Genomic DNA, 24,144 nt, shown 5'->3' with positions numbered 1-24,144 from the left:
GAAGAGCAAATTGAAAACATGTGCCTAAAAATGTTAGTTTCTCACCCTGGGCAGTAGTTAACTAAATAAGGTCAAGATAGCCCATGAGTGTTTATTTACATAGTACAGGTACAGTAACACAGCAGAATAGAACAAGCAAACACTGTGCCCATCAAAACATTGACAACAGCTCCTTTGGGACACTATTAAAAATCTAGAAAGTAAAAGAGACTCACACAAGGAGGAAACAAGTCAATGTTCCTGTTGAGGTGGTAAATTCTGTTTAATGGAATTATTTCTTCATTTCCATAATCAATATATAAGACATGTGCCTTCTTTTGCTGCACATCAACGTTTTGTATGATTGCTCTGTTCCAGGTCTGAAAGTGAAATATAATGGTACTCTGCTTCATAACAGCATTTCACAATCTTAGATTAAAAAACCCTCAATCAATCTATAGAACGTGCAAAGGAAAGGCTCCTGTTCTGAGGCACTCAATTAATAAGCCAACTTAATTTTTTAAGAATCTTGCTAAGAAATCCCTAAAATTGTCTAGTTAGGACATGTTATTAATAATATGCACAACTATTCCAAAGCTACTTCTATCCCATGAGACTATCACACACTAATACCTAAATAAAACACAAGCTCTAAGACTAGCCATCAGGCTACAACTAGCAATTCAGGAACCCGTAAACAGAGTTGGAGAGGAGTAAGACAGGGAGGAAGCAAGGTGAACAGAGCACGGGATACTGAAGAGGAATAGAAGCGTGATCAGAGGCTGGCTTTAAGCCTTGTCATGCATCATTAAAAGCTCTGGTGTTCAGTTCATACGACCAAAGTTAGCTCAAACGTTTTAAATAATTCATTTCATTACAGGTTACCTGATCAACAGTGTACTTGGCAATACAAACTTCCCCCTTAACAGGAATATAGTCTTTTTCATGCACATTTGCATATGTTTCTTTTAAGCTGGCAGAGAGTTGGTTCATGTATTCTAAAACTTCTGAAGAATATAACTGCACGTAGAAGTCCCCTGGGTGTTTGAATTCGGTAACCGTACCCTTTCAAAGATAAAAAAAAAGAGGAATAATTCATAAGGCACACAAGGAAATGTAAATTTCTTAAAGCTTTGTAACTAAGACACAAACAGCATTGTAGGCAGTTTTTGCAATGTTTATGTTTTGTAGCTACCGCATGAACTCAAAAATAGGAAACGAGAATAAATACAGTTCTCTGGATCTGTGTCTATGGAGATTGAAGAAAAACAAATACCTTTATTTCCATGGTTTTCTTGAGTTGTAGACTTCTCAAATCAGAAAACATTATTCTCTCAGCCCAAATGGCTATTTCCTTAGTAACTCCAAGTGGACAGTCACTCTGGTTTGAAAAATACCACAGAAGTGAGTTACTTAAAAGCACATGTTTCAATGATTCTATGGCCACTACACGTCGGAACTGCAGTCACAATATCCTAACTCTTAGGCTTGAACAAAAGAACACAGAAATAGGGAAGGCCTCCAAGAGTCACTAAAACCCACTGTCCACAGGCAGTGGGCACAGCACTGGGAATAACCCAAGAATAAGGCCACGTGGGTGAAGAGAAGGTTGACTTTATTTCAAAAAAAATGAAAATGGTGGTGGTGGAGGTATTATTTTAAATCTGCACTTGTTAATGTTTTCTGTAAGAATGAATACCTGAAGTCACATTTTTTTAAGTAGAGGCTAGAAGCAGTTAAAGAAAGCTAAAAATTATTCATAAATACGAGTTGGACACGACGGATGTTTTTCGGATTACAAATAATTCAGCCCATGTTGTTGCCTAAATGGGGAACTACTATCAGAAAAAAAATCCTCCTTAGATAGATAACTAGGCCCTATTAGAGTACAGCACATAAAGCTAAAACCTGTGCCTTCAGAGGCATGATTAATCCACATGATTTTACACTGAGATACTGCCACATCCTTTTTGAAAAAAAGATGAAGTAATTCTCAAAAACCCCTGATTGTATCACTATGGTGTACATATTTATATAATAGGAAACTTGCCTTTAAATATTGATAAAATACAGAAATAAGCCTAAAATATTTATCTTACATCTTAATTCAATAAAGAGGAGTTATTCAAAATTTAAAGACAAAGTATACCATACCTTATTGTTTACCTCCACATCCTTTGTTTCAATAGATGATTTATTTTCAAGTTTGTGGAAACTGCAATAAAGCAACAGATTACAATATTTATACTACAGAGGCAATTAACATAGGGGCTATCAACCACAATTATGGTATTCTCAATGAACAAAATCCTGAAAGAGCAAAACAGCTTCTTCCAGAATCACAGTGGTAATGTAAAACTCCCCAGTGCTGGCTACACAGTGGTCCACACCCTGTGTGTGCACAGGTGTGCTTCTTCCAAAAGCCACCTAATGAGACAGACAGAGACAGGGTTGGGGGGAGACAGACAGAGAGAATATCTCCAAGCCTGTTTTCTTATCTGTAAAATGGAGATAATTCCCTACATTACTTACACAGAATTTTGAGGTCATATGTGAAACTGTTTTGTAAACTGGTAAATGCCATGCAAGTACAATTTATGTATTTACAAATAAAAACACAACTCAAGAGGCATGTAAGAGTTCCAAACTTATTAAAATCCAGGAAAGTACACATCATTAAAAGTAAGGCATTCTAAAGCTCTAAACATGAAAGAAAAACTCTTTGAAGGTTATAAATCTTCACATGTACTACCTGGTAAAATGATACACATGAAAATTAAGTTCATAGAGCTGTTCACTTCAGATTTGTACACTTTGTTATAGAGCTTAAGAAAAAGTAACTTCTACTTGGTTGTGGTCTGCTTAACTAATTGGACGCTTATTGTATCAGAACCTTTTACATAATCCTTAATGAATAAAAAGATCATAAATCCTTACTTTGGCTGAACAGGCCTGCACACGATGCTGTGTGCAGACCAGTCTCTTCTTTGACATGCTGTGGAGCAATAGTAGGTCTGCTTGCACTGAGAGCACCTCAGCGATCCTAGAAAACACCACCCACAAAATAGTTCAGATGAAGATCAAGACATTCTCAAAGTCCACACTTTAGCAAATATCATTCTATTAGCCATGGCAAGAGAATTGTGCTATTTAGGATCAGGTGTTCAGATTATACTTTTAAACTCTGAGAATACAGAGAAGAAATGACTACAAAGATTAAAAAAAGGGAGATCAGACTGGGACACATAACTGAGTTTCCTAATAGACCTCAGAATATATGTTATAAAAGCAGCAAGCGGCCAGGTGCAGTGGCTCACGTCTGTAATCCCAGCACTTTGGGCGGCTGAGGCAGGTGAATCACCTGAGGTCAGGAGTTCGAGACCAGCCTGGCCAACATGGTTTGAAACCTTGTCTCTAGTAAAAATACAAAAATTAGCCAGGCATGGTGACGGGCACCTGTAATCCCAGCTACTCAGGAGGCTGAAGCAGGAGAATCTCGAACCCGGGAGGCAGAGGTTGCAGTGAGCTGAGATTGTACCACTGCACTCCACAGCCTGGGTGACAGAGTGAGACTCTGTCTCAAAAAAAAAAAAAAAAAAAAAAAAGGCAGCAGCAAGCAATGGTGCAAAACATGCAGTGGCTCACGCCTGTAATCCCAGCACTTTGGGAGACCAAGGCGGGTGGATCACTTGAGGTGAGGTCAGGAGTTTGAGACCAGCCTGGCCAACATGGTGAAACCCCGTCTCTACAAAAATACAAAAATAAGCCCAGTGTGGTGGTGCGCACCTGTAGTCCCAGTTACTTGGAAGGCTGAGGCAGGAGAATCGCCTGAACCCAGGAGGCAGAGTGCCAGTGAGCCAAGATCAAGCAAAGTAAACAAAACTTTCTTGTAGTGAAAACAGACTTGTACAAGCGACTGAAATGGCTGTGTATCGTGAAAAACAACAACAAAAAATAAACAATGAGAATCACACCCAGAAAAACCCAGGGAGATCTTGAAATAAAGGATTTTTTAAAAAATCCCATCAGTGTTCATGCTAAAGAAACAGGTTATCTAAAAAACAACAACAACAACAACAAACCCACAAAGAAGTAACCACCAACCAGTCTGGCCTCAAATGCTTCCATCCTAAAATAAACTTTTAAAAAGTTACATATCCAAATAGCCAGTAATAAACAGAAAAAACTGCTCAAGATCATTGATCACGAGAGCACTGCAAATTTAACTGTAAACTGGTAAATGCCATGCAAGTAAGACTTACGTACTGAAAAATTAGAACTCAAGAGGCATATGACAATTCCAACTTATCCACGAGAAGGGCTATAATTAAAAACACAAACACCAAATGTGGACGAGGATGTGGAACAACCAAAACTCCTTCCCAGTGGGAAAAGAAAATGGGACAATACCTTGAAAATGGTTTAGTAGCTTCTTATACAGTTAAACACACACCTACCCTTTGACTCAGCCATTGTGTGTCTACCTGTGCACCCACAATAAATGAAAACATATGTCCACACGAACACTTGTACAGAAATGTTTAGAGAGCTCTATTCATAACAGACAAAAGCTGGACCCAGCCAAAATATTCATCAATAGAACAGTTTGACTATGGTATAACCATACAATGAGATACTATTCAGCAATAAACAAAAAATAATTGTACGTGCAACGGCATGGATTAACCTCAACAGTATTATTGTATATGAAATAAGCTTGATACAAAAGAGTCCACGCTGTATGATTCCACTTATGTGAATTCTATGACAGGCAAAATTATTTCATGAGTAGAAAACCAATGGTTGTTTCTCAGAAGTAGGGACTGGGATGGGACATGAGAAAACTTCCTGAGGAGACAGAAACATCCTATGTTATGACAAGGATGTAAGTCTGTGCATTTCATTGCATGTGAGCTTCCCCTAAAAAACTATAATAATCCGCTGAGGAAGCAGGAAGAATGGGAAGGGATGGGTGAAGAGGAACAGCAGGATGCTGACAGCTGCTGAGGCTGAGACGGGTGTGTGGCATGGGGACACTGTTCTAATTACACTTAATGTTTCATCATCTGCCACAATAAAAATGTTTTTCAAATATGTGGAAGAAGAATTCAGACACCCAAGAACAATATGCTTACCAAATAGGCCACAGCGATGGCAAGTTGTGGACCGAAGAGGAGGTCCTAAGGAGGTGAAGAGCCCTGGATTACTTATGGACAAGGAATTCTCGACCAACTTGTTTAGTTTTTTTGATTTTGCAGGACGTACATTATTTCCAGGCTTCTATTAAGAACAAAGAAGAGCAATGTTAGAATTTGGCAATAACTTTTCCATTTAAATACTAGATTTGGGACTACTTCAGATAAGATCAAGTAGATGTACTTTTCCTTATTCCTCCTATTAAGGTAAACTAAAACCCTGAACTTATATATAAAACAAACATACGGTGACTCAAAGTGGGAAAGGAGGAGGTGGGCTGACTGGGAACCTGGAGACCCAAAGAGTGACATGGCAATAAGATGTCTGGGTTTTCTTTTTGCCTCATATATACCAGACTGGGTGCTGGAGAAGCCAGCAACCCAGAAACACCAAAAGGCAGAGATGATAAAAGCTCCAACAAGAAAAGCCCTGCTCTCTAGCCGGGTGTCGTGGTGGGCACCTGCAGTCCCAGCTACTTCTGAGGCTGAGGAGGGAGGAACACTGGAGCTCAGGAGCTCAAGGCTGTAGCGAGCTATGATAGTGCCTGTGAACAGCCACTGCACTCCAGCCTGGCCAACACAGTGAGACCCTCATCATTTAAAAGAAAAAATTTAAAACCTGCTCTGCTAGCCAAAGGATGAGAAAAGAGGCAGACCAGCAAGACAGAAAACTTAACATTAACTGCTCTACTCCAAACACCACAGACAAAACTGTGGCCCCACTCCCACCCACAAAGGGAGAGTGTGGGGCCAAGATTTCCACCCTCACAAGGCTACAAATGAGGTGCCCCAACCTGCTCACAGGTGTGGTATCAGAGAAGGCCAAGCGAATAGGGTGCCAGCACTTTATCCCTGAAGTGGGAGGAGGATGAGATCCCTCCCTACGGAGGCCACATGGGGAACCCGGATTTCCACCTGGCAACAATGAGGTGCCACCACCCCGACCAAGGTGGTGTCAGAAAAGGCATAGTGGAGAGTCCAGACTTTCCACCACCATTCATTACTAACTACTCCCTCCTAATACCCTCTCCTTCAGTCGGGCCTCTCTCCACCCGTGTCACTAGAGACCAGATGGGGAGCTGTAATGAGGCACTCACCACTGTCAGCCAGAAAGCAATTAGTTGAGGCCTCTTGTGAAGCTGGAACTCCCATCCTCACCCAACAGAAAGAGCCCCCGAGTTGAATATCAGAGGCTGAGTAGGGAACCTGGACATATACCCCCCGACCTGGCGGTAACAAACAAGCAGCCAGAGCAGTGTCGGAGGAAGCCAGCTGAAACAGGAAGTTTAAATACGATACAGAGACTGGGTGTGGTGGCTCACGCCTGTAATCCCGGCACTTTGGGAGGCTGAGGTGGGCAGACGTCTTGAGGTCATGAGTTCAAGATCAGCCTGGCCAATATGGCGAACCCCATCTCTACGAAAATACAAAAATTAGCCAGGCATGGTGGCACGTGCCCATAATCCCAGTTACTCAGGAAGCTGAGGCACAAGGATCGCTTGAACCCAGGAGGCGGAGGTTGCAGTGAGCTGAGATCATGCCACTGCACTCTAGCCTGGGCAACAGAACGAGACTCAATCAAAAAAAAAAAAAAAAGTCTCATAATACCCAAGATATCCCAGTTTCAACAGAACTCAGTAGACAATAACTCATTGCACCAAGAATCAGGAAGATCACAAACAAATGCCGGAAAAAAAAAAATCAAGCGCCCAACATCAAGATGACAAAAATGTTCATTTATCTATAAAGATTGTAAAGCAGTCATCAATATGTTAACAAGCAATTATGAATAGGCTTGAAACAAATGAATAGGGAGTCTCCCTAAAGAAATAAAAGATATAAAGAACCAAATGAGTATTTTAAAACTGAAAAGTATAACAAAAATACAAAACACAATAGCAGACTCACTAGCATAATGGAGGGAAAACAGGAAACAATCAGTAAACTTGAAGATAGAACCACAGAAACGCCTGATCTGAACAAGAGTGAAAATGAATTAATAAATGAATAGTCTCAGGGACCTGTGGGACTACAACAAAAGATCTAGTATTCTATGACTTCAGAAAGGCAAAAGAAGGTAGGGCTGAGAAATACTCAAAAAATGACTGCTGAGGCCAGGCACAGTGGCTCACGCCTGTAATCTCAACACTGGGAGGCTGAGGCAGGTGGGATCACCTGAGGTCAGGAGTTCAAGACCAGCCTGGCCAACATGGCGAAACCCCATCTCTACTAAAAATACAAAAATTAGCTGGGTGTGGTGGAGGGCATCTGTAATCCCAGCTACTTGGGAGGCTGAGACAGGAGAATCGCTTAAACCCAGGAGGCAGAGGTTGCAGTGAGCCCAGATCATGCCACTGCACTCCAGCCCAGGCGTCAAGAGCCAAATTCTGTCTCAAAAAAAAAAAAAAAAAAAAAAAAAAAAAAGACTGCTAGAAACTTCCAAATTTGGTAGGAGATATAAATCTACTAATTCAAGAAGCTGAGTGAGCCCCAGAGTAAACTGAGACTAAACACCAAGACACATCTTAAAATTCTGAAAATTAAAAGCTTGAAAGCAGAAAGAGGAAAATAATCCCTTACCTGTATGGGGGGGGAAATTTTTAAAATTCCTTCTATTAAGGTAAACTAAAACCCTGAACTTATATATAAAACAAACATAAGGTGACTCTGAAAGTGGGAAAGGAGGAGGTGGGCTGACTAGGAACCTGGAGACCCAAAGAGCTACATGGCAGTAAGGTATCTTTAAAAAGACAGATTTCTCATTAGAGACCATGGAGGCCAGAAGAAAGTGACAAAACATTTTTCAAGCTCTGAAAGAAAACTTACCTGAGAAACTTATCCAAGGAAAATATCTTTCAGGAATGAATGGGAAATCAAGACTTTTCAGATGAAAGAAAATGAAGAGAATTTGTTACCAGTAGCTTTATCCTAAAAGAATGGCTTAAGGAAGTTCTCTAAGGAGAAAAGAAATGATAAAAGCAGGAACACTGAAACAGAAAGAAGAAAAACACAATAGTCCGGGCTCAGTGGCTCACTTTGTAATCCCAGCACTTTGTGAGTCTGAGGTGGGAGGACTGAGCTCAGGAGTTCGAGACCCAATAAATGAAACCTATCAGTAAGTACAATAGACTTTCTCTTGTTGAGCATTCTAAATTATGTTTGAGAGTTTGAGCAAAAATGATAAACTGTCTGAAGGCGTTCTAAATCTGAGATAGAATATGTAAGACGTAAATGGGTGAAGGTAAAGAAATGTATGGGAAGGTAAGGTGTCTGCACTATACTCAGATTGGTAAAATGATAACTAAGTTGTGTATACATGATACCGTATGTAGAACAACCACTGGAAAAGGTATACAAAGATACACACTTGAAAACACTGGATAAAAATCAAAATTACTGAAAGTATTCAAGTAACCCACAAGAAGGCAGGAAAAAAGAACAGAAAACAAATGGCATAAACTCAAGTATTAATTACATCAAATGTAAACGGTCTAAGCATACCAACTGAAAGACACTGCCCTAGTGAATTAAAAAACATTACCTAAATATATGGTGTCTATAAGAAACTCATTTTACATATAACAATATAGAGAGACCGAAAGTAAAAAGATGGAAAAATATGTAAATGTTAAGAAAAATATGAGTGGCTGCATTAATATCAGATAAAACAGATTACAGGGAAAGAAAATTACCAGAGAGAGGGACATTATGATGACAAAAGAGTCAACCCAACAAGACACAGCAATCCTAAATATGCATGAACCACAGCTGCAAAACATGAAGCCTAACTGAATTGAAAATAGACAACTAAGGACTATAGTTAGAGACTTTAATACCTTCTCAACAATTGACATGACTAGATATAAAATCAGCAAGAGGATAGAACTCAACATAACCAACCAACAGGAGCTATTAGGTATTTATAGGTCGTCTGACCCAACAACAGACGAGGCACATTCTTTTTAAGTGCCAAGAGAATGTATACTAAGACCACATCCTGAGCCATAAAACAAACCTCAACAAACTTAAAAGAACTGATATGATTCAGAAGGTGTTCTCTGACCACAATAGACTCAAACTAGAAATCAGTGGCAGAAAAAATACTAATAATCTTCAAACACCTGGAAACTAAAACATATACTTCTAAATAATACATGAGTTAAAGATGAAGTTTCAAGATAAATAAAAGATACACTGAGGCTGGGCAGGGCAACTCATGCCTGTAATCCCAGCAATTTGGGAAGCCAAGGTGGGAGGACCACTTGAGGCCAGGAGTTTAAGATTAGCCTGGCAACATAGTAAGACCCCCATATCTACAGAAAAAAAAAAAAAAAGCCAGGTGTGGTGGCATACACCTGTAGTCCCAATTACTCCAGGAGGCTCAGCAAATGGGATTGCTTGAGTCCAGGAGTACAAGGCTGTGGTGAGCTATGATTGTGCCACTACACTCCAGCCTGGATGACAGAGGGAGACCTTGTCTAATAAAAAAAAAAAAAAAACCAACAACCAACCACTAAAAAGACAAACAAAAAAACCCCCAAACAATGACAAAAAAACATGCCCAAAAGCAGCAGAAGAGATAATAAAGATAAAAGAAGAAATCAATTAATTTAAAAAACAGGAAAAAAAATGAAACAAAGACCTATTTCTTTGGGAAGATCAGTAGAACACAAATCTGTAGCAAGACAGACAATAAAGAAAAGAAAGACAGAAATTACCAAGATCAGGAATAAAATAGGGAACATTACTACAGACACCACTAATACTGAAAATAATACTGGGAACACTTCCACACATAAATTTGACAATGTAGACAAAATGAACAAATTCCTTAAAAAATGCAAACACAATATGAAACAATTTGAATAGACCTTAATTATAAATATTAAGGAAACTGAATCATAGCTTTAAAACTCCCCCAAAAGAAATCTCCAGGTCCAGATGGTTTTCATTGGAGAATTCTACCAAATGTTTAGAGAAGAATTAACACCAATTCTATACAATTTCTCTTCCAGCAAACACAAGAGGGGACACTTCTCAATTTATTTTATGAAACTAATACTACCTTGATACTCAAACCACACAAAGACAGTATAAAAGAAAATTACAGACCAAAATCTCTCTTGAAAACTTATGTAAAAATCCTTATCAAAATATTACCAGATAGAACTCAGCAATACATAAAAATAATTGTATATCACGACCAAGTGGAGTTCATTTCAGGAATGCAAGGCTAGTTAACCATTCAAAATATCAATGTAATCCACCAAATTAACACACTAAAGGAAAAGAAGTCACTACCATATCAATCAATGCAGAAAAAGCATTTGACAAAATTCAACACCTACTTATGATAAAAAGGATCAGAAAAGTAGGACTAGAGAAAACTTCATCAGCTTGATAAAGAACATCTACAAAAACCTACATCTAAACTTAATGGTAAAAGACTGAATGCTTTCTCCCTAAGATTAGAAACAAGGCAAGGTGTCCACTGTCACTCTGATTCAAACCTCGTGTTGAAAGTTCCTACAGTAAATGCAATAAAGCAAGAAAGGAAATCAAAGGCATATACATTGAAAAAGAAAACATAAAACTGTCCCTATTTGCAGTATGATATAATTGGCTATGTAGAAAACTGCAAGGGATCTTAAAAGGACTTCAGTGGCTGGTCCCGGTGGCTCACGCCTGTAATCCCAAGCACCTTGGGAGGCCAAGGCGGGTGGATGACCTAAGGTCAGGAGTTCGGGACCGGCCTGATCAACATGGTGAAACCACGTCTCTACTAAAAAATACAAAAATTAGCCAAGTATGGGGGTGCATGACTGTAGTCACAGCTACTTGGGAGGCTGAGGCAGGAGAATCGCTTGAACCAGGGAGGCAGAGGTTGCAGTGAGCCAAGATAGCAGCCCTGCAGTCCAGCCTGGACAACAAGAACAAAACTGTCTCAAAAAAAAAAAAAAAAAAAAAAGACTTCAGCAAGGTCACAGATAGAAGATAAACATACAAAAACCAATCATATTTCCACATATTAATAATGAACATGGGGAAAGAAATACAACAGTATTTACAATTACTCAAAAAAATCAAATACTTAAGTGTAAATTGAGCAAAACATGCATAGGATATGTAAGCTAAAAACTACAAAATAAAGAAATCAGAGAGCTACATAAAAGGAGAAACACCATGTTCATAGATTGGAAGATTCAACACAGCAAATATGTCAATAATTCCCAAATTGATATACAGGTTTAATGCAATTCACATGAAAATCCCAGCAATATTTTTTGTAGAGATGAGATTATTCTAAACTGTATGTTGGAAGGCAAAGGAATTAGAATAGTTAAAAATTTTTTTAAAAAGAAAAATCAAGCAAAAGGAATCACTTTTCCCAATTTCAAAATTTATTACACAGCTCCAGGAATCAAGACTGTGTGGTACTGGAAAGACAGACACATATATCTACAGAAAATAAGTAACTTAGACTAGACTGACACAAATATGTCCAATTGAATTTTGGCAAATGTGTGAAAGCAATTCAGTAAAGAGAATTTTCAACAGATGGCACTGGAGCAATTGAATATACATAGGCAAAAACTTAAGTTTCTTAACTTAAAATTAACTGAAAATGGATCAAAACTTAAATGTAAGAAGTAAAACTATCTGGTGGCTCACGCCTGTAATCCTAGCACTTTGCGAGGCCGAGGCAGGCGGATCATGAGGTCAGGAGATGGAGACCATCCTGGCTAACACGGTGAAACCCCATCTCTACTAAAAATACAAAAAAAATTAGCCAGGCGTAGTGGCGGCCACCTGTAGTCCCAGCTACTCGGGAGGCTGAGGCAGGAGAAATGGCGTAAACCCAGGAGGCGGAGGTTGCAGTGAGCCGAGATCGCGCCACTGCACTCCAGCCTGGGTGAAAGAGCAAGACTCCGTCTCAAAAAAAAAAAAAAAAAAAAAAAAAAAAAGGAAAACTATCAAACTTTTTTGGGGAAAAAAATGAACATTTTCAGGATCCAGAGTATCAAACAGTTTTAAAGTTGACACCAAAAGCACCAAAAACAATCCATTAAAGAAAAACTGACTTTATTAAGATGAAAAGACAAGCTACAGATTAGGAAAAAATATTGGCAAATCACGTACTTGACAAAGGACCAATATCTGAAATATATAAAGAACTTTCAAAACAACGGTAAAAAAAAAAAATTAGAAAATAGACAAAAGACATGAAAATATTTCACCAAAGATGCACAGATGGCAAATAAGCACATGAAAAGATGTTTATCATCATCAATCGTGAGGGAAATGCAAGTTAAACCACAATGAGATAGTACTACACATCTGTGATGAAAATGGGTAGAATAAAAATACCTACACCACCAAATGCTGATGAGGATGCAGAGAAACTGAAGCTCTCATACACCCTTGGTAAGAATGTAAAATGATACCGTCACTCTGGAAAATATTTGGCAGTTTCTTATAAAACAAAGTATGGGACTAGTCTTCAACCCAGAAATTGTACCCTGGACATCTATCCTGGAGCATTAAAAACGTGTTCATATAAAATTCTGTACATAAATGGATATAGAGTTTTAGTTTTAACGCCAAAAAGTGGAAACAACCCAGGTGTCCTTCAATAGGTAAATGGTTAAACAAGTTGTCCATACCATGGAATACTACTCAGCAATAAAAAGGATAGAACGATTGATGCATACAACCTAGATCAATTTCCAGATAATTATGTGAAATGACAAAAGCCAATCCCAAAAGGTTACGTACTGTTTGTATGTAGCCTTTTATATAATATTCTCAAAAATGTCAAAATTGTCGAAATATGCATATCAGTGGCTGCTATGGATTAAGAGGGCAGGGGCAGAAGGAAAAGTGGATTGGCTACACCAGAACATAAGCAACAAGGTATATAAGGGACCCTTGTAGTGATGGAAATGTTCCGTATCTTGATGGTGTATCAATAACCCAGTTGTGATATTGTACTATAGTTTTGCAGCATGTTAACATGGGCGAAATAGGTGAAAGACTACACAGGATCTCCATTATTTCTTACAACTGCATGTGAATCTACAATAACCTAAGAAAGTTTTCTTTTTTTAAAAATGTACATAAAAGAAAAAACATTTGATCTTGAATGATACCTACAAATTGAACACTTCTTTATTAAATAAATAAAACATGTTTAGAATCTTTTACCCAAACAAGCACACACACAATAAAATAACTTACAATATTCACTTCTTTGGGTGGTGAATTACTTTCAGCACTTGGTGGTGACACTGAGTTTCCTGGGGAGGAAAAACACAATTTCAAATAAAAGCCAAATAATACTTTTTATTGCTAATAATGAAAAATAGTGTAATTAGGTGATATTCAAGTAACAGGGCTATACCACAATGACCTTATAGCTACACCAGAACATAAGCAACATCCTACTTTTCCCAACAGAAAATAAGGACTTAGCTGGGCACAGTGGCTCACCCCTATAATCCCAGCACTTTGGGAGGCCAAGGCAGGTGGATCACTTGAGGTCAGCAGTTCAAGACCAGCCTGACCAACATGGTGAAACCCCGTCTCTACTAAAAATACAAAAATTAGCTGGGCATGGTGGTGCACTCTTGTAATCCCAATTACTCAGGAGGCTGAGGTAGGAGAACCACTTGAACCTGGGAGGCGGAGGTTTCAGTGAGCTGAGATAGCGCCACTGCATTCCAGCCCGGACAACAGAGTGAGACTCCGTCTTGAAAAAAAGTAAAAATATAAATAAAAGGACTTGTTCAAAATTTTCTTGACTAGTGCTCCTCTCATTGTGAACTTTTCTCCATTCACTAAGGCAGCAGTTCTCAAATTTTCTGGTTTCAGAAACCCTCTGCACTTTTAAAAGCTGAGGACCCTACACAGCTTTTGTTTACATGGCTTATTTCAATCAATATTTACTGTATTAGAAATTAAAACTAAATTTAAACATCCATTTAAAAATAAATGCATTACATGCTGATAATTTTTAAAAACTATATTTTTCAAAACAAAATATAGAAGAATTACACATTTTTGCATATCATTAATGATTGGCTTAACAGAAGACAGCTGGATTCATATACAGCTTTTGCCTTCAACTCAGTGAAATGTTGCTTCTGGTTTTGGTATCTGAAAAAAAAAGTTTGGCCTCCCGGAGACAGGTATTTGCAACGAGGAGGAATACTTAATGTTCTCCTCTGTTAAAGGCAAATAATAGAAGGATATTTGCCTTTAATAGTACACCAAAACAAGTGGCATAGGGTTAGAAGCAATGTGAACTCTAAAACCACATCAAGGAACTTTTCATATTGTTACGTTAGAATTCACTGATTATCCCGCACTTTGGATTCCTGCGCATGCATGACTGCAATACCACGCATTGGTCATTTGGAAAAGACAGGTTCATTGAGTTATATGCAGCATTTCCAATTGTTGACACATTTCATTATGCAATAGCAAAAATTCATGTGTTAGGGCCTGGTGCGGTGGTTCATGCCCGTAATCCCAGGGTTTTGGGAGGCTGAGGCAGGAGGATCGTTTGTGCCCAGGGGTTTGAGGCCGTAGTAAGCCATGATTGTGCCATTGCACTTCAGCTTGGGTGACAGAGTGAGACTGTCTCCAAATAAAAATATTAATATTCATGTGTTAATATCATCATGCATCTCACCAGAAAAGTCTGTCTTGGGAAGTCCTTAAGCTCAAAGTGGCAGACACAAGTTTCCTAAAACCCGAAATTGCTTGAAAGCTTGAACTCTGTCACTGACAAAATATGTCAGCTGTTTTCCTTGAAGTAAAGGGCTCACTTTGTTAATTTTTGAGAAAATGCTTGCCAGGTAAGTCTGAATAACCAGTGTCCATCTTTTCAAGTAAAAAGTATGTTCCAAGAAGAGAGTTTCTCTTCAGCTTACAACTCAATTGCACACATGGTTTTCCTACTTCAGAAGGTAAAAGTCAGGAGTAATTCCCATTTCATTACACAAATACTAAAAATACTGCACACAATGATCAAGATTTAACAGAATACTTTTTACTGCTCAATCAAGTGCATTTTTAACTGAAGTTGGCATTTCTGGTTTTCCTTTTAAGTGCATGACGATGAAAAACTCAGGTTGGCGCTCCTGCCTTAAGCTGAGCTAATAATTTGCTTTTGCACCATTAGTATAAAGTTGGCATAGCAGAAAAGACAAATACTGTGAGGAAAACAGTTTTGACCTCCTGGGGAAGCCCAGAGGCCCAAGCGCACATTCTGAGAATTATATCACCATGTTAGAAGACCACAACTCATATACCTTCAAAGAGGCTAAATTCTACCAGGTCCTAACCTCTTTAGAAAGGTTTTTTTTTTTTTTTTTTTCATTTTGTTTTATTTTGTTTTGAGACAGAGTATCGCTCTGTCACCAGGCTGGAGTACAGTGGCACGATGTCAGCTCACCGCAACCTCTGCCTCCCAGGTTCAAGCGATTCTCCTGCCTCAGCCTCTCAAGTAGCTGGGACTACAGGCTTGTGCCACCACGCCCGGCTAGTTTCTGTATTTTTAGTAGAGATGGGGTTTCACCATGTTGGCCAAGCTGGTCTCGAACTCCTGACCTCGTGATCTGCCCACCTCGGCCTCCCAAAGTGCTAGGATTACAGGCGTGAGCCACCTCACCCAGCCAAGAGAGGTTTTTAGAACGGGAACTAAAGGAATGATAAAATAAATCACGTGAAACCAGTTAAAATCTTAGCTATATCTTTGCGATATATGCATGAAGTTTGCACAGTATTTTTAAGATACGGGTCAATCTTTAGAACACCCATAAAAAAGCCAGAGTGTTTCCTTTCTACATTCCTAGTATAGTCCTCTGTGGGGAAAAAGCTCATTCTCTCCCCAGGAATTTTTTCTGAGATTAATGAAGCCAAAGGTAGCCACTTGGTATCTGGTTTTTCCTTCTAAATTAATAATGAAATGCAAATACGGTAAGGTAGTCATGTGCCTGTTCTGCTAATAGCCCACTGGTGTGTGGTTATATATACTTCTGGTAAGTCACAGAAACCATGAGAATGAAGAAGTAGGAAGCCTGTGGTTTTCACTCACCTGCTGGCAATTTTTTCCTGTCTCCTTTGGAGCCAACTACTTCTCCGTTGATGCCATTCGGGTTTGAAGAAACTGAATTGTCTTCCTGACTAGCCAAATATTGTTTGGTTTGCTCACAAAGCAAAAAATTGTTCTTTTTATTTCCATTCTCTGAGCTTTTCAGCCTGAAATTAGGGTGGTTAGGAAGTGTTCCAGGACTTCTTAAAGACTCATGTGGTGGAAGCTTGTTTTCATTTTTCTCAAAATTAAATGGCTCTGTCATCTTACAAGGAGGTGCTTCCAAATTATTTCTTGACATCACATTAAATGGCGATTTAACACTCATCGAGGCCTAAGGAGAGAAATGTATTTAAGAGACAACTTTTAATTTCAAAATTTCAGAAGAACTGCAGGCTCAGAGGAATTCTCCCAAATATATTTACGTAACAGATAATGCCTATAAAACAATTCCAAAGCAGATATAACCATGACATCAAAACTTGGCCGACAAGGCACAAGAAAAACACCAGTTCTCTGTAAGTATGAACTCTAACAGAAATCAACAGACCAACTCATGAAAAATCAAAAATCTCAGCGTTCAACACCATTCCTTACTTTTAAAAGCTTTTGAGGCAACACTAATTGAAAAGGTCTTTCATGTTTTAAAATATTCCCAACCTAAAGCTTACACTTTAATGGCAAAATGCAACGGAAGAGGTGTGTTTAAATCAGGTCGTCACCTACCTTTCTACCTTCTCACAATCCCTCTACCCTCTCCTACTTTATGCTATATCTAATCCTTGAATATGCTGAACCCTCTACCCAGAATGCCCTCGCACTCACTGCCTGACCATCCTGGGCAGGCTTCACAATCCATCTCAGCTGACCCCTCTTCCCTCCTGTTTTGCCAAGGCCTCTGCTTTGATCATCTCCAGCTGAACTTCCACAAATTGTAATTTATACCTACTGCTTTTAAGGACCTATCTATGCATCTTTCTCTGAAAATAAGTTGGAAATGTTGCAAGCTTTCCAAGTTTAATTTGTCACAAAGTGTCTCTGAGAAACCTCTATCCACAAAAGATGGTGGCTTGTTTTTCCGTTACTCTTAAAGAATTCTAAGTGCCCTGCCCAGGGGAATTAAAAGGGACGAACACCTCTTCTTTCTGAAGTAGTGACTGATAGCTTTGCTCCCAAAATGGCTGAGCGGGAGGAAAAATGTCACAGCTGAAACTGGCATGAGTAATATCTAAATGTTGTTTAACATGGTCTTGAATAGAAAAAAAATAAATAGCAGTTGGTGTCCTACAACTTATTATCTCATTTCTTATTTTAAATTAGGCCTAACCTAATCCAATGAGAATACAGACAAGATAATGAAATAAAAACAAAAATATACAGGCACCCTCGAAAGTAGGGAACTCTTATTGGACCAGACCCTGAGAAGACCCCTAACAGAATGACTGCAGGTGGGCAGCGATGGGGGAGATCCTGCAGCTGCCAGGGGAAGTAAAACTGTTATGGATAAGCACGCCTAAATTGAAGGGACAGGCTGAGAACTGCCATGTTTTGTGTAATAAGAGAGCAATGTCGTTCAATTACAAAAGAAAAATAAAGGCTGGGCGCGGTGGCTCACACCTGTAATCCCAGCACTTTGAGAGGCTGAGGCAGGCGGGATCACGAGGTCAGGAGATCGAGATCATCTTGGCTAACACGGTGAAACCCCGTCTCTACTAAAAATACAAAAAAATTAGCCAGGCGTGGTGGCGGGTGCCTGTAGTCCCAGCTACTCAGGAGGCTGAGGCAGGAGAATGGCATGAACTCAGGAGGCGGAGCTTGCAGTGAGCCGAGATTGTGCCACTGCACTTCAACCTGGGCAACACAGCGAGACTCCATCTCAAAAAACAAACAAAAAAACTCCAGGGGAATCAGGTGGTGGTTGGGGGAGGAATAAAGTCTAGACTCTGTATAAGAAATACAAAGAATGTGCATTAAAATATTAGAGTAACTCCCAGACAAACAGAAACAGAATATATAACTTTAAAATCACAGGAAATCTTAATTCAACAGAAAAAAAAATTCAAGTACAGAAAACATCAAGTAAGATCACAGAATCAAGCCCAAGTAATCCAAGTATCAATGAGTTAGTCTTAGTTAGATAAAACTCAGGGAGAAAATTATTCAGTAAAATGTTAGGCACAAAAGGCACACATATAACCAAATTATATGGTAAGGTTCCAAGTAAAAGGACTAAAATATGTGCTATGCAAACAACTAAAAGATGTAACGTTAGGCCAGGCACGGTGGCTCATGCCTGTAATTCAAGCACTTTGGGAGGCCAAGGCAGGTGGATCACTTGAGGTCAGGAGTTCGAGACCAGCCTGGACAACATGGTGAAACTCTGTCTCTACTAAAAATACAAAAAATTAGCCAGGCGTGGTGGTGTACGCCTGTAATCCCAGCTACTTGGGAGGCTGAGGCAGGAGAATGGCTTGATCCTGGGAGGTGGAGGTTACAGTGAGCCAAGATCACACCATTGCACTCCAGCCTGGGCAACAAGAGCAAAACTCCGCCTTGAAATAAAAGAAAACAAAAAAGATATAATGTTAATATCAGTAGCACATAAAATCAAACTCAAGGTAGAAACTATTGAGACACGTGAAGATATTTTACATTAATTAAGAAAACATAGGCTGGGCACAGTGGCTCACGCCTGTAATCCAAGCATTTTGGGAGGCCAAGGCAGGTGGATTACTTGAGGTCAGGAGTTCGAGACCAGCCTGACCAACATGGTGAAACCCTGTCTCTATTAAAAATACAAAAATTAGCTGGGTGTGGTGGCACGCACCTGTAGTCCCAGCTACTCGGGAGGCTGAGGCAGGAGAATAGCTTGAACCCAGGAGTCAGAGGTCGCAGTGAGCAGAGATGATGCCACTGCACGCCAATCTGGGCAACAGAATGAGACTCTGTCTCAAAAACAAAAAACAAACACTCCAAGGAGATAAAGCAGCCAGGAATCTTTGAATCATTATAATGTTGTTTTGAGGTGTGTAAAACAAAACCCGACTGAAGGAGAAGAAATTCAGTCCACTATGATTAGGACACATCTATCTTAGACAACTACTACTCAGAAAACAGGCGATAGTAAAGACTGTATGAGTAACAATAAACTTGACCTAATTGGGACTAATACAACCAAGAATATTCCTTTTTTTCAACACTGAGTATATGCTGGACTGCAAAAACCACCTCGACTACAAAAAAACTAGTATCATACATGCTACATTCACTCATCACAATACACACAAATCTCCATCTCAGATTATGCTTCACAGAGAATCAGACTGCAATAGCCACAGGTGAAGAGTTTCTTTAGTTTAAAAGTAGTTAAAAAAATCACAAAGGAAATGATAGCAAACATAACCATGTGACAATTAAAACTTACCAAAATAGCAAAGAGTCCAGGAAATACTATCACAAAGATGACAAATTTGATACCTTTTCAAAAGTGGGATAAATATTAAGAACCTCCAGAAACTGTAGCAGACTCAAACGCTATTCAACCTCTGATTTGCCAGCTACAGTTAGCGACACTACTGGCCACAGAGTTCTCCTGAGGGGGGCTTCTGAGAAAGCTCTTCCCTATCCTGAAGAACAGGAACAGATGTGGCTAGCACAGGCCTTCACCCCTTTCTTCCTGCAACACATTCCTGAGGCCTGGAGACTTATCACCCATTTTGTAATTAGGGAGTAATAAGCACAGCCTGAGGATGGTGAAGGAGAAAATGCAGAGCCAAGTGTGTCTGGCGGTTCCTTTGCGTCATCACTCCAGCTCTGGTTTGCCTATGCAGAGACACGCTGAGGCATCAAATAAGCTGTTATTTGCAGGCCAATCAATACAGTAAAATAAATGACAAAAAGGCATGAACAGAATGCAGAGAGGAAGAAGGTAAGTTCATAAACATAAGGGGAAAAGCATTCAACCCTATTTATAGTAAAAAAAAAAAAAATTCAAATTGAAATAAGTATGCATTTTCTGCCTAGTGGGTGCAATTAAAAAATTAAGCCACTCATTACTGAAGGGAGTATCAATTAATATACTCTTTCTGGGAAGCAATTTAGAAATATATAAGTATATATCTATGGGGTTTTTAAAAAGCATTCCTAGCCACTGACTTGGTACCTCTACATCTAGAAATCATGCCATTAAAATAATCCTAAATACCAAAAAATGCCATATATAAAAATGTCCCGTTCAAAATAGCAAAAAAGGCACGGACACAGTGGCTCACACGTGTAATCTCAGCACTTTGGGAGGCCAAGGAGTGGTGGGCTCCTGTAATCCCAGCTACTCAGGAGGCTGAGGTGGGAGAATCGCCTAGAATCTGGGAGGCAGAGGTTGCAGCGAGCCAAAATTGCGCCACTGCACTCCAGCTTGGGCAACGAAGCGAGACTGTCTCAAAAAAAAAAAAAAAAAAAAGTTAACTGTGATGGCTTTAATAGACAGCCTATTATACTATCATTCAGAATCTTAGTTTCCAGAAACACCGTAAAATGTCTGTTAGAATGGCAAATGAAAAAGCAGTAAAAAACCTGTATATTCAATATAATTATAACCGCAAAAGAAAATCAAAACTCCAGGTTAAAAAAAGATGAATGAAACATATTACATTATAAATAACAATGAGTATTCTGGGGTAGGTGGGTTGATGAGGATATCTTTTTCACTGTCTTTTTCATTTTCCAAATTATATTGAATGAATCATTTTTATAGATGAAAACATTTTTAAGACTGAAGTATCATCTAATAGTAAACCTTTTTTCCAAAAATGTGGTAACTTAATTCTAAATCAAGTAAAGGATCAAAGCAATATTTAAACCATAAAACTAGCGTATAGTCATCTTCTTAAGACACTGAGTTGGATCCTCAGTATGCTGCTGTGTGTTACACCCGAGAGTCTTTCATAACACTGTCCTTACTTAGTAACTCATGCTGGCTGTCAATCTACAGTCAGCGCCTCAATACCCTGTATTACAGTTACCTATAGACAGTTATATCTGTCATTTAAATTATTTTAAGTTGCCTGAGTGCAGGAACTCTTATTTTTAAAAATCTGAACAAAAATACCTTTGACTTCCTGCAATATCCACCATGGTGCTTTATAGAACTAGGCATTCAAAAGATATTCGTATGATTGGCCGGGAGCGGTGGCTCACACCTGTAATCCCAGCACTTTGGGAGGCTGAGGCGGGCGGATCACGAGGTCAGGAGATTGAGACCATCCTGGCTAACACAGTGAAACCCCGTCTCTACTAAAAATACAAAAAATTAGCTGGGCATGGTGGCGGGTGCCTGTAGTCCCAGCTACTCGGGAGGCTGAGGCAGAAGAATGGCATGAACCCAGGAGGCGAGCTTGCAGTGAGCTGAGATCACGCCACTGCATTCCAGCCTGGGCTACAGAGCAAGACTGTCTCAAAAAAAAAAAAAAAGATATTCGTATGATAAAAACTATTTTAAATGCACTATTGCACTGCTTTCATGCCAACCTGGACAGGGAAAATGACACCTGCTGTCCGAAATGACATCTGGCAGTCTTAAGTGGAGAAGCACATCAGGCTATGAGGTTTACTGAAATTTAATAACAAAACTTCATGTCTCAAAACAATTCCTCCAAAATCCAAAAATTAGTAAATATATTTGACTTTAGAAACAACATCCGCGTTAGACTCACGATAAAGTTTAAGTAGCAAATAAAGAGGATTTTTACTTAAAAGAAGGTCCACCCTATTTGGAGAATGTTTGAAGGACTCACCCTATTCAGGAATTTTCGTTACAACACCCAGGGCAAATAGACATCTACACCTGTTCTGGGACCACAAACTTCTTGTTTCCTTTCATTCGGGACAGCCAATTGTGCTGCAGTGTTTTTTGTAAAATGGTTCCCCTTCCCAGCTGTTGCTGCCCTGTGACCACAACCTTTCAAAAATATCTGAGACTCTTATACTGACATGACTCTCATAATGGAATACAAGATTCCAGACACGGGTTGGCAGCCCGTCAACAGGAAAGTCAGGATGTCCCTGAGTTTGAACACTACCATTTATGCATTAACTTTTGGAGCAGGTGGCCAGTACTACTGTGAATCCAGATAAAACGTTCAGTCACCTAAAACCTTTTGGAATTTATTTTTAAATATGTAATTATCATACCATTACATGGACTTTGATTTCTTTGATTTACAGTTCTATGAATGTAACGCAGGCATAGATTTAGGCAGCCACCACAACTGGGATACAGAATAGGCTTTTAAGGGTGAATTTTTTTTTTTTTTTTTGAGATGTTGTCTCGCTCCATCGCCCAGAATGGAGTGCAGCGGCATGATCTCCGGCTCACTGCAACCTCTGCATCCTGGGTTCAAACAATTCTCCTGCCCCAGCCTCCCAAGTAGCTGGGACTACAGGCATGCCCCATCACGCCCGGCTAATTTTTGTATTTTTAGTAGAGACGGGGTTTCACCAGACTGGTCTCAAACTCCTAACCTCAGGTGATCCGCCCGCCTCAGCCTCCCGAAGCGCTGGAATTACAGGTGTGAGCCACCGCACTGGGCCGTGAATTTTTAACATTACAAAACACCAGTAAGACTTAGCATCTATTCCTACTTGGTTCATCCTGTATCAACCACTGGGAATATCTGAATCACAAGTAGGCAGGCCCTATGGCATAATACTGTGATTCCCAACCTCAGGCTTTAGACTTGATACCCAGGTAAACAAATGTGACAGATTATTGCTGCACAGGCCCTGAAGCCACATCGGCTAACCTCACCCAGTTTTAAAATAATTCCCCCTATATACAATCTACTATTTTTTCATGCTACTAGTGATAAATAGAAATATATTTAATCATTCTGGAATCCACAGTAATTAAATGTTGATTCAGCTAACATAAAAGGTTAACTAGAAGGGTCTCAACATTTCTCTACGTTAAAGAGTACCTCATTTTCTCAGAATTAGGAATCACTGATGTACTAGAAGAGTAGTGGACTGAAAGTGACTCATTTCTATAGTTCTACAGGCAAAAATGAGGGCTCAGCTTTCTGGATTTCTTTGTTCTGTACTTCACGCTTTGAACCCATTAAGTCCTGAAGCTCCCTAAGGGTAGACCCTCTCTTTTCTTTGGAATCCTATCGGTTCTCCCTGATGTTGCTGGGGGCTTCCTAAGATACACTATGAATAGTGGGGTAAGTCATTTCTTCTCCCTCTAGGATACCACAGGCTGGAGTTCTTTTAACAACAAAAGTGTATGCACAGATACTCAGCTGTCATTTTTTTCCTTCTCTGATGTTTGCTTTTGTCTTCCTGGCAACCCCATGTATTCTGCAAGAACCATTCTACTCAAAGAAAACACTCCGGTTTTGGCTGGGCGCTGTGGCTCACGCCTGTAATCCCAGCACTTTGGAGGCCGAGGTGGGCGGATCACCTGAGGTGAGGAGTTGGAGACCAGCCTGGCCAACATGGTGAAACCCTGTCTCTACTAAAAATACAAAAATTAGCAGGGCGCCGGTGGCTGGCCTGTAATCCCAGCTACTAGGAAGGCTGAGGCTGGAGAATCGCTTGAACCCGGGAGGCGGAGGTTGCAGTGAGCTGGGATCGCGCCATTGCACTCCAGCCTGGGCAACAAGAGTGAAACTCTTACTCAAAGAACAAACAAAAACACTCCGGTTTTAAACAGACAAAACGCAACGCTTCGGTAAAGCATGAGCTCTTAAGTCAGCCAGGTAAGTCTCGTCTTCCTCATTTAGCCACGCTATCTTGGGCAAATCACTTCATCTTTCTAGGATTCAGCGACTGTAAAATGCAGAGGGCAGTAGTTAACTTCCTCACAAATCCTAA

At 39.7% G+C, this 24,144-nt stretch overlaps 1 protein-coding gene across 26 annotated transcripts in view; it reads right to left on the bottom strand.

The window, feature by feature from the left end:
* The window catches only part of TDRD1 (tudor domain containing 1), a 57,793-nt gene that overhangs the window by 28,235 nt on the left and 5,414 nt on the right, over nt 1-24,144 (bottom strand). For 18 of the 26 annotated variants that reach the window (XM_011539962.2, NM_198795.2, NM_001385365.1 and 15 more), the window contains exons 2-9: nt 16,276-16,606; nt 13,413-13,471; nt 5,115-5,259; nt 2,917-3,022; nt 2,134-2,194; nt 1,256-1,360; nt 865-1,044; nt 216-359 (exon numbers count right to left, since the gene is read on the bottom strand). In XM_011539962.2, coding sequence (XP_011538264.1) covers nt 216-359; nt 865-1,044; nt 1,256-1,360; nt 2,134-2,194; nt 2,917-3,022; nt 5,115-5,259; nt 13,413-13,471; nt 16,276-16,600 — 1,125 coding nt within the window. In that variant the 5' untranslated portion in view covers nt 16,601-16,606. Of the gene's footprint in view, nt 1-215; nt 360-864; nt 1,045-1,255; nt 1,361-2,133; nt 2,195-2,916; nt 3,023-5,114; nt 5,260-13,412; nt 13,472-16,275; nt 16,607-17,221; nt 17,294-22,064; nt 22,155-24,144 lie in introns of those variants that run through there. The other 8 variants (XM_017016414.3, NM_001385371.1, XM_047425488.1 and 5 more) reach the window with 3 other exon arrangements.

The sequence above is a fragment of the Homo sapiens genome, chromosome 10, assembly GCF_000001405.40.
Source record: "Homo sapiens chromosome 10, GRCh38.p14 Primary Assembly".
Lineage (NCBI taxonomy): Eukaryota > Metazoa > Chordata > Mammalia > Primates > Hominidae > Homo > Homo sapiens.
Note: the sequence above shows the minus strand (reverse complement) of the source record. Positions and strands in the feature narration are given on the sequence as shown.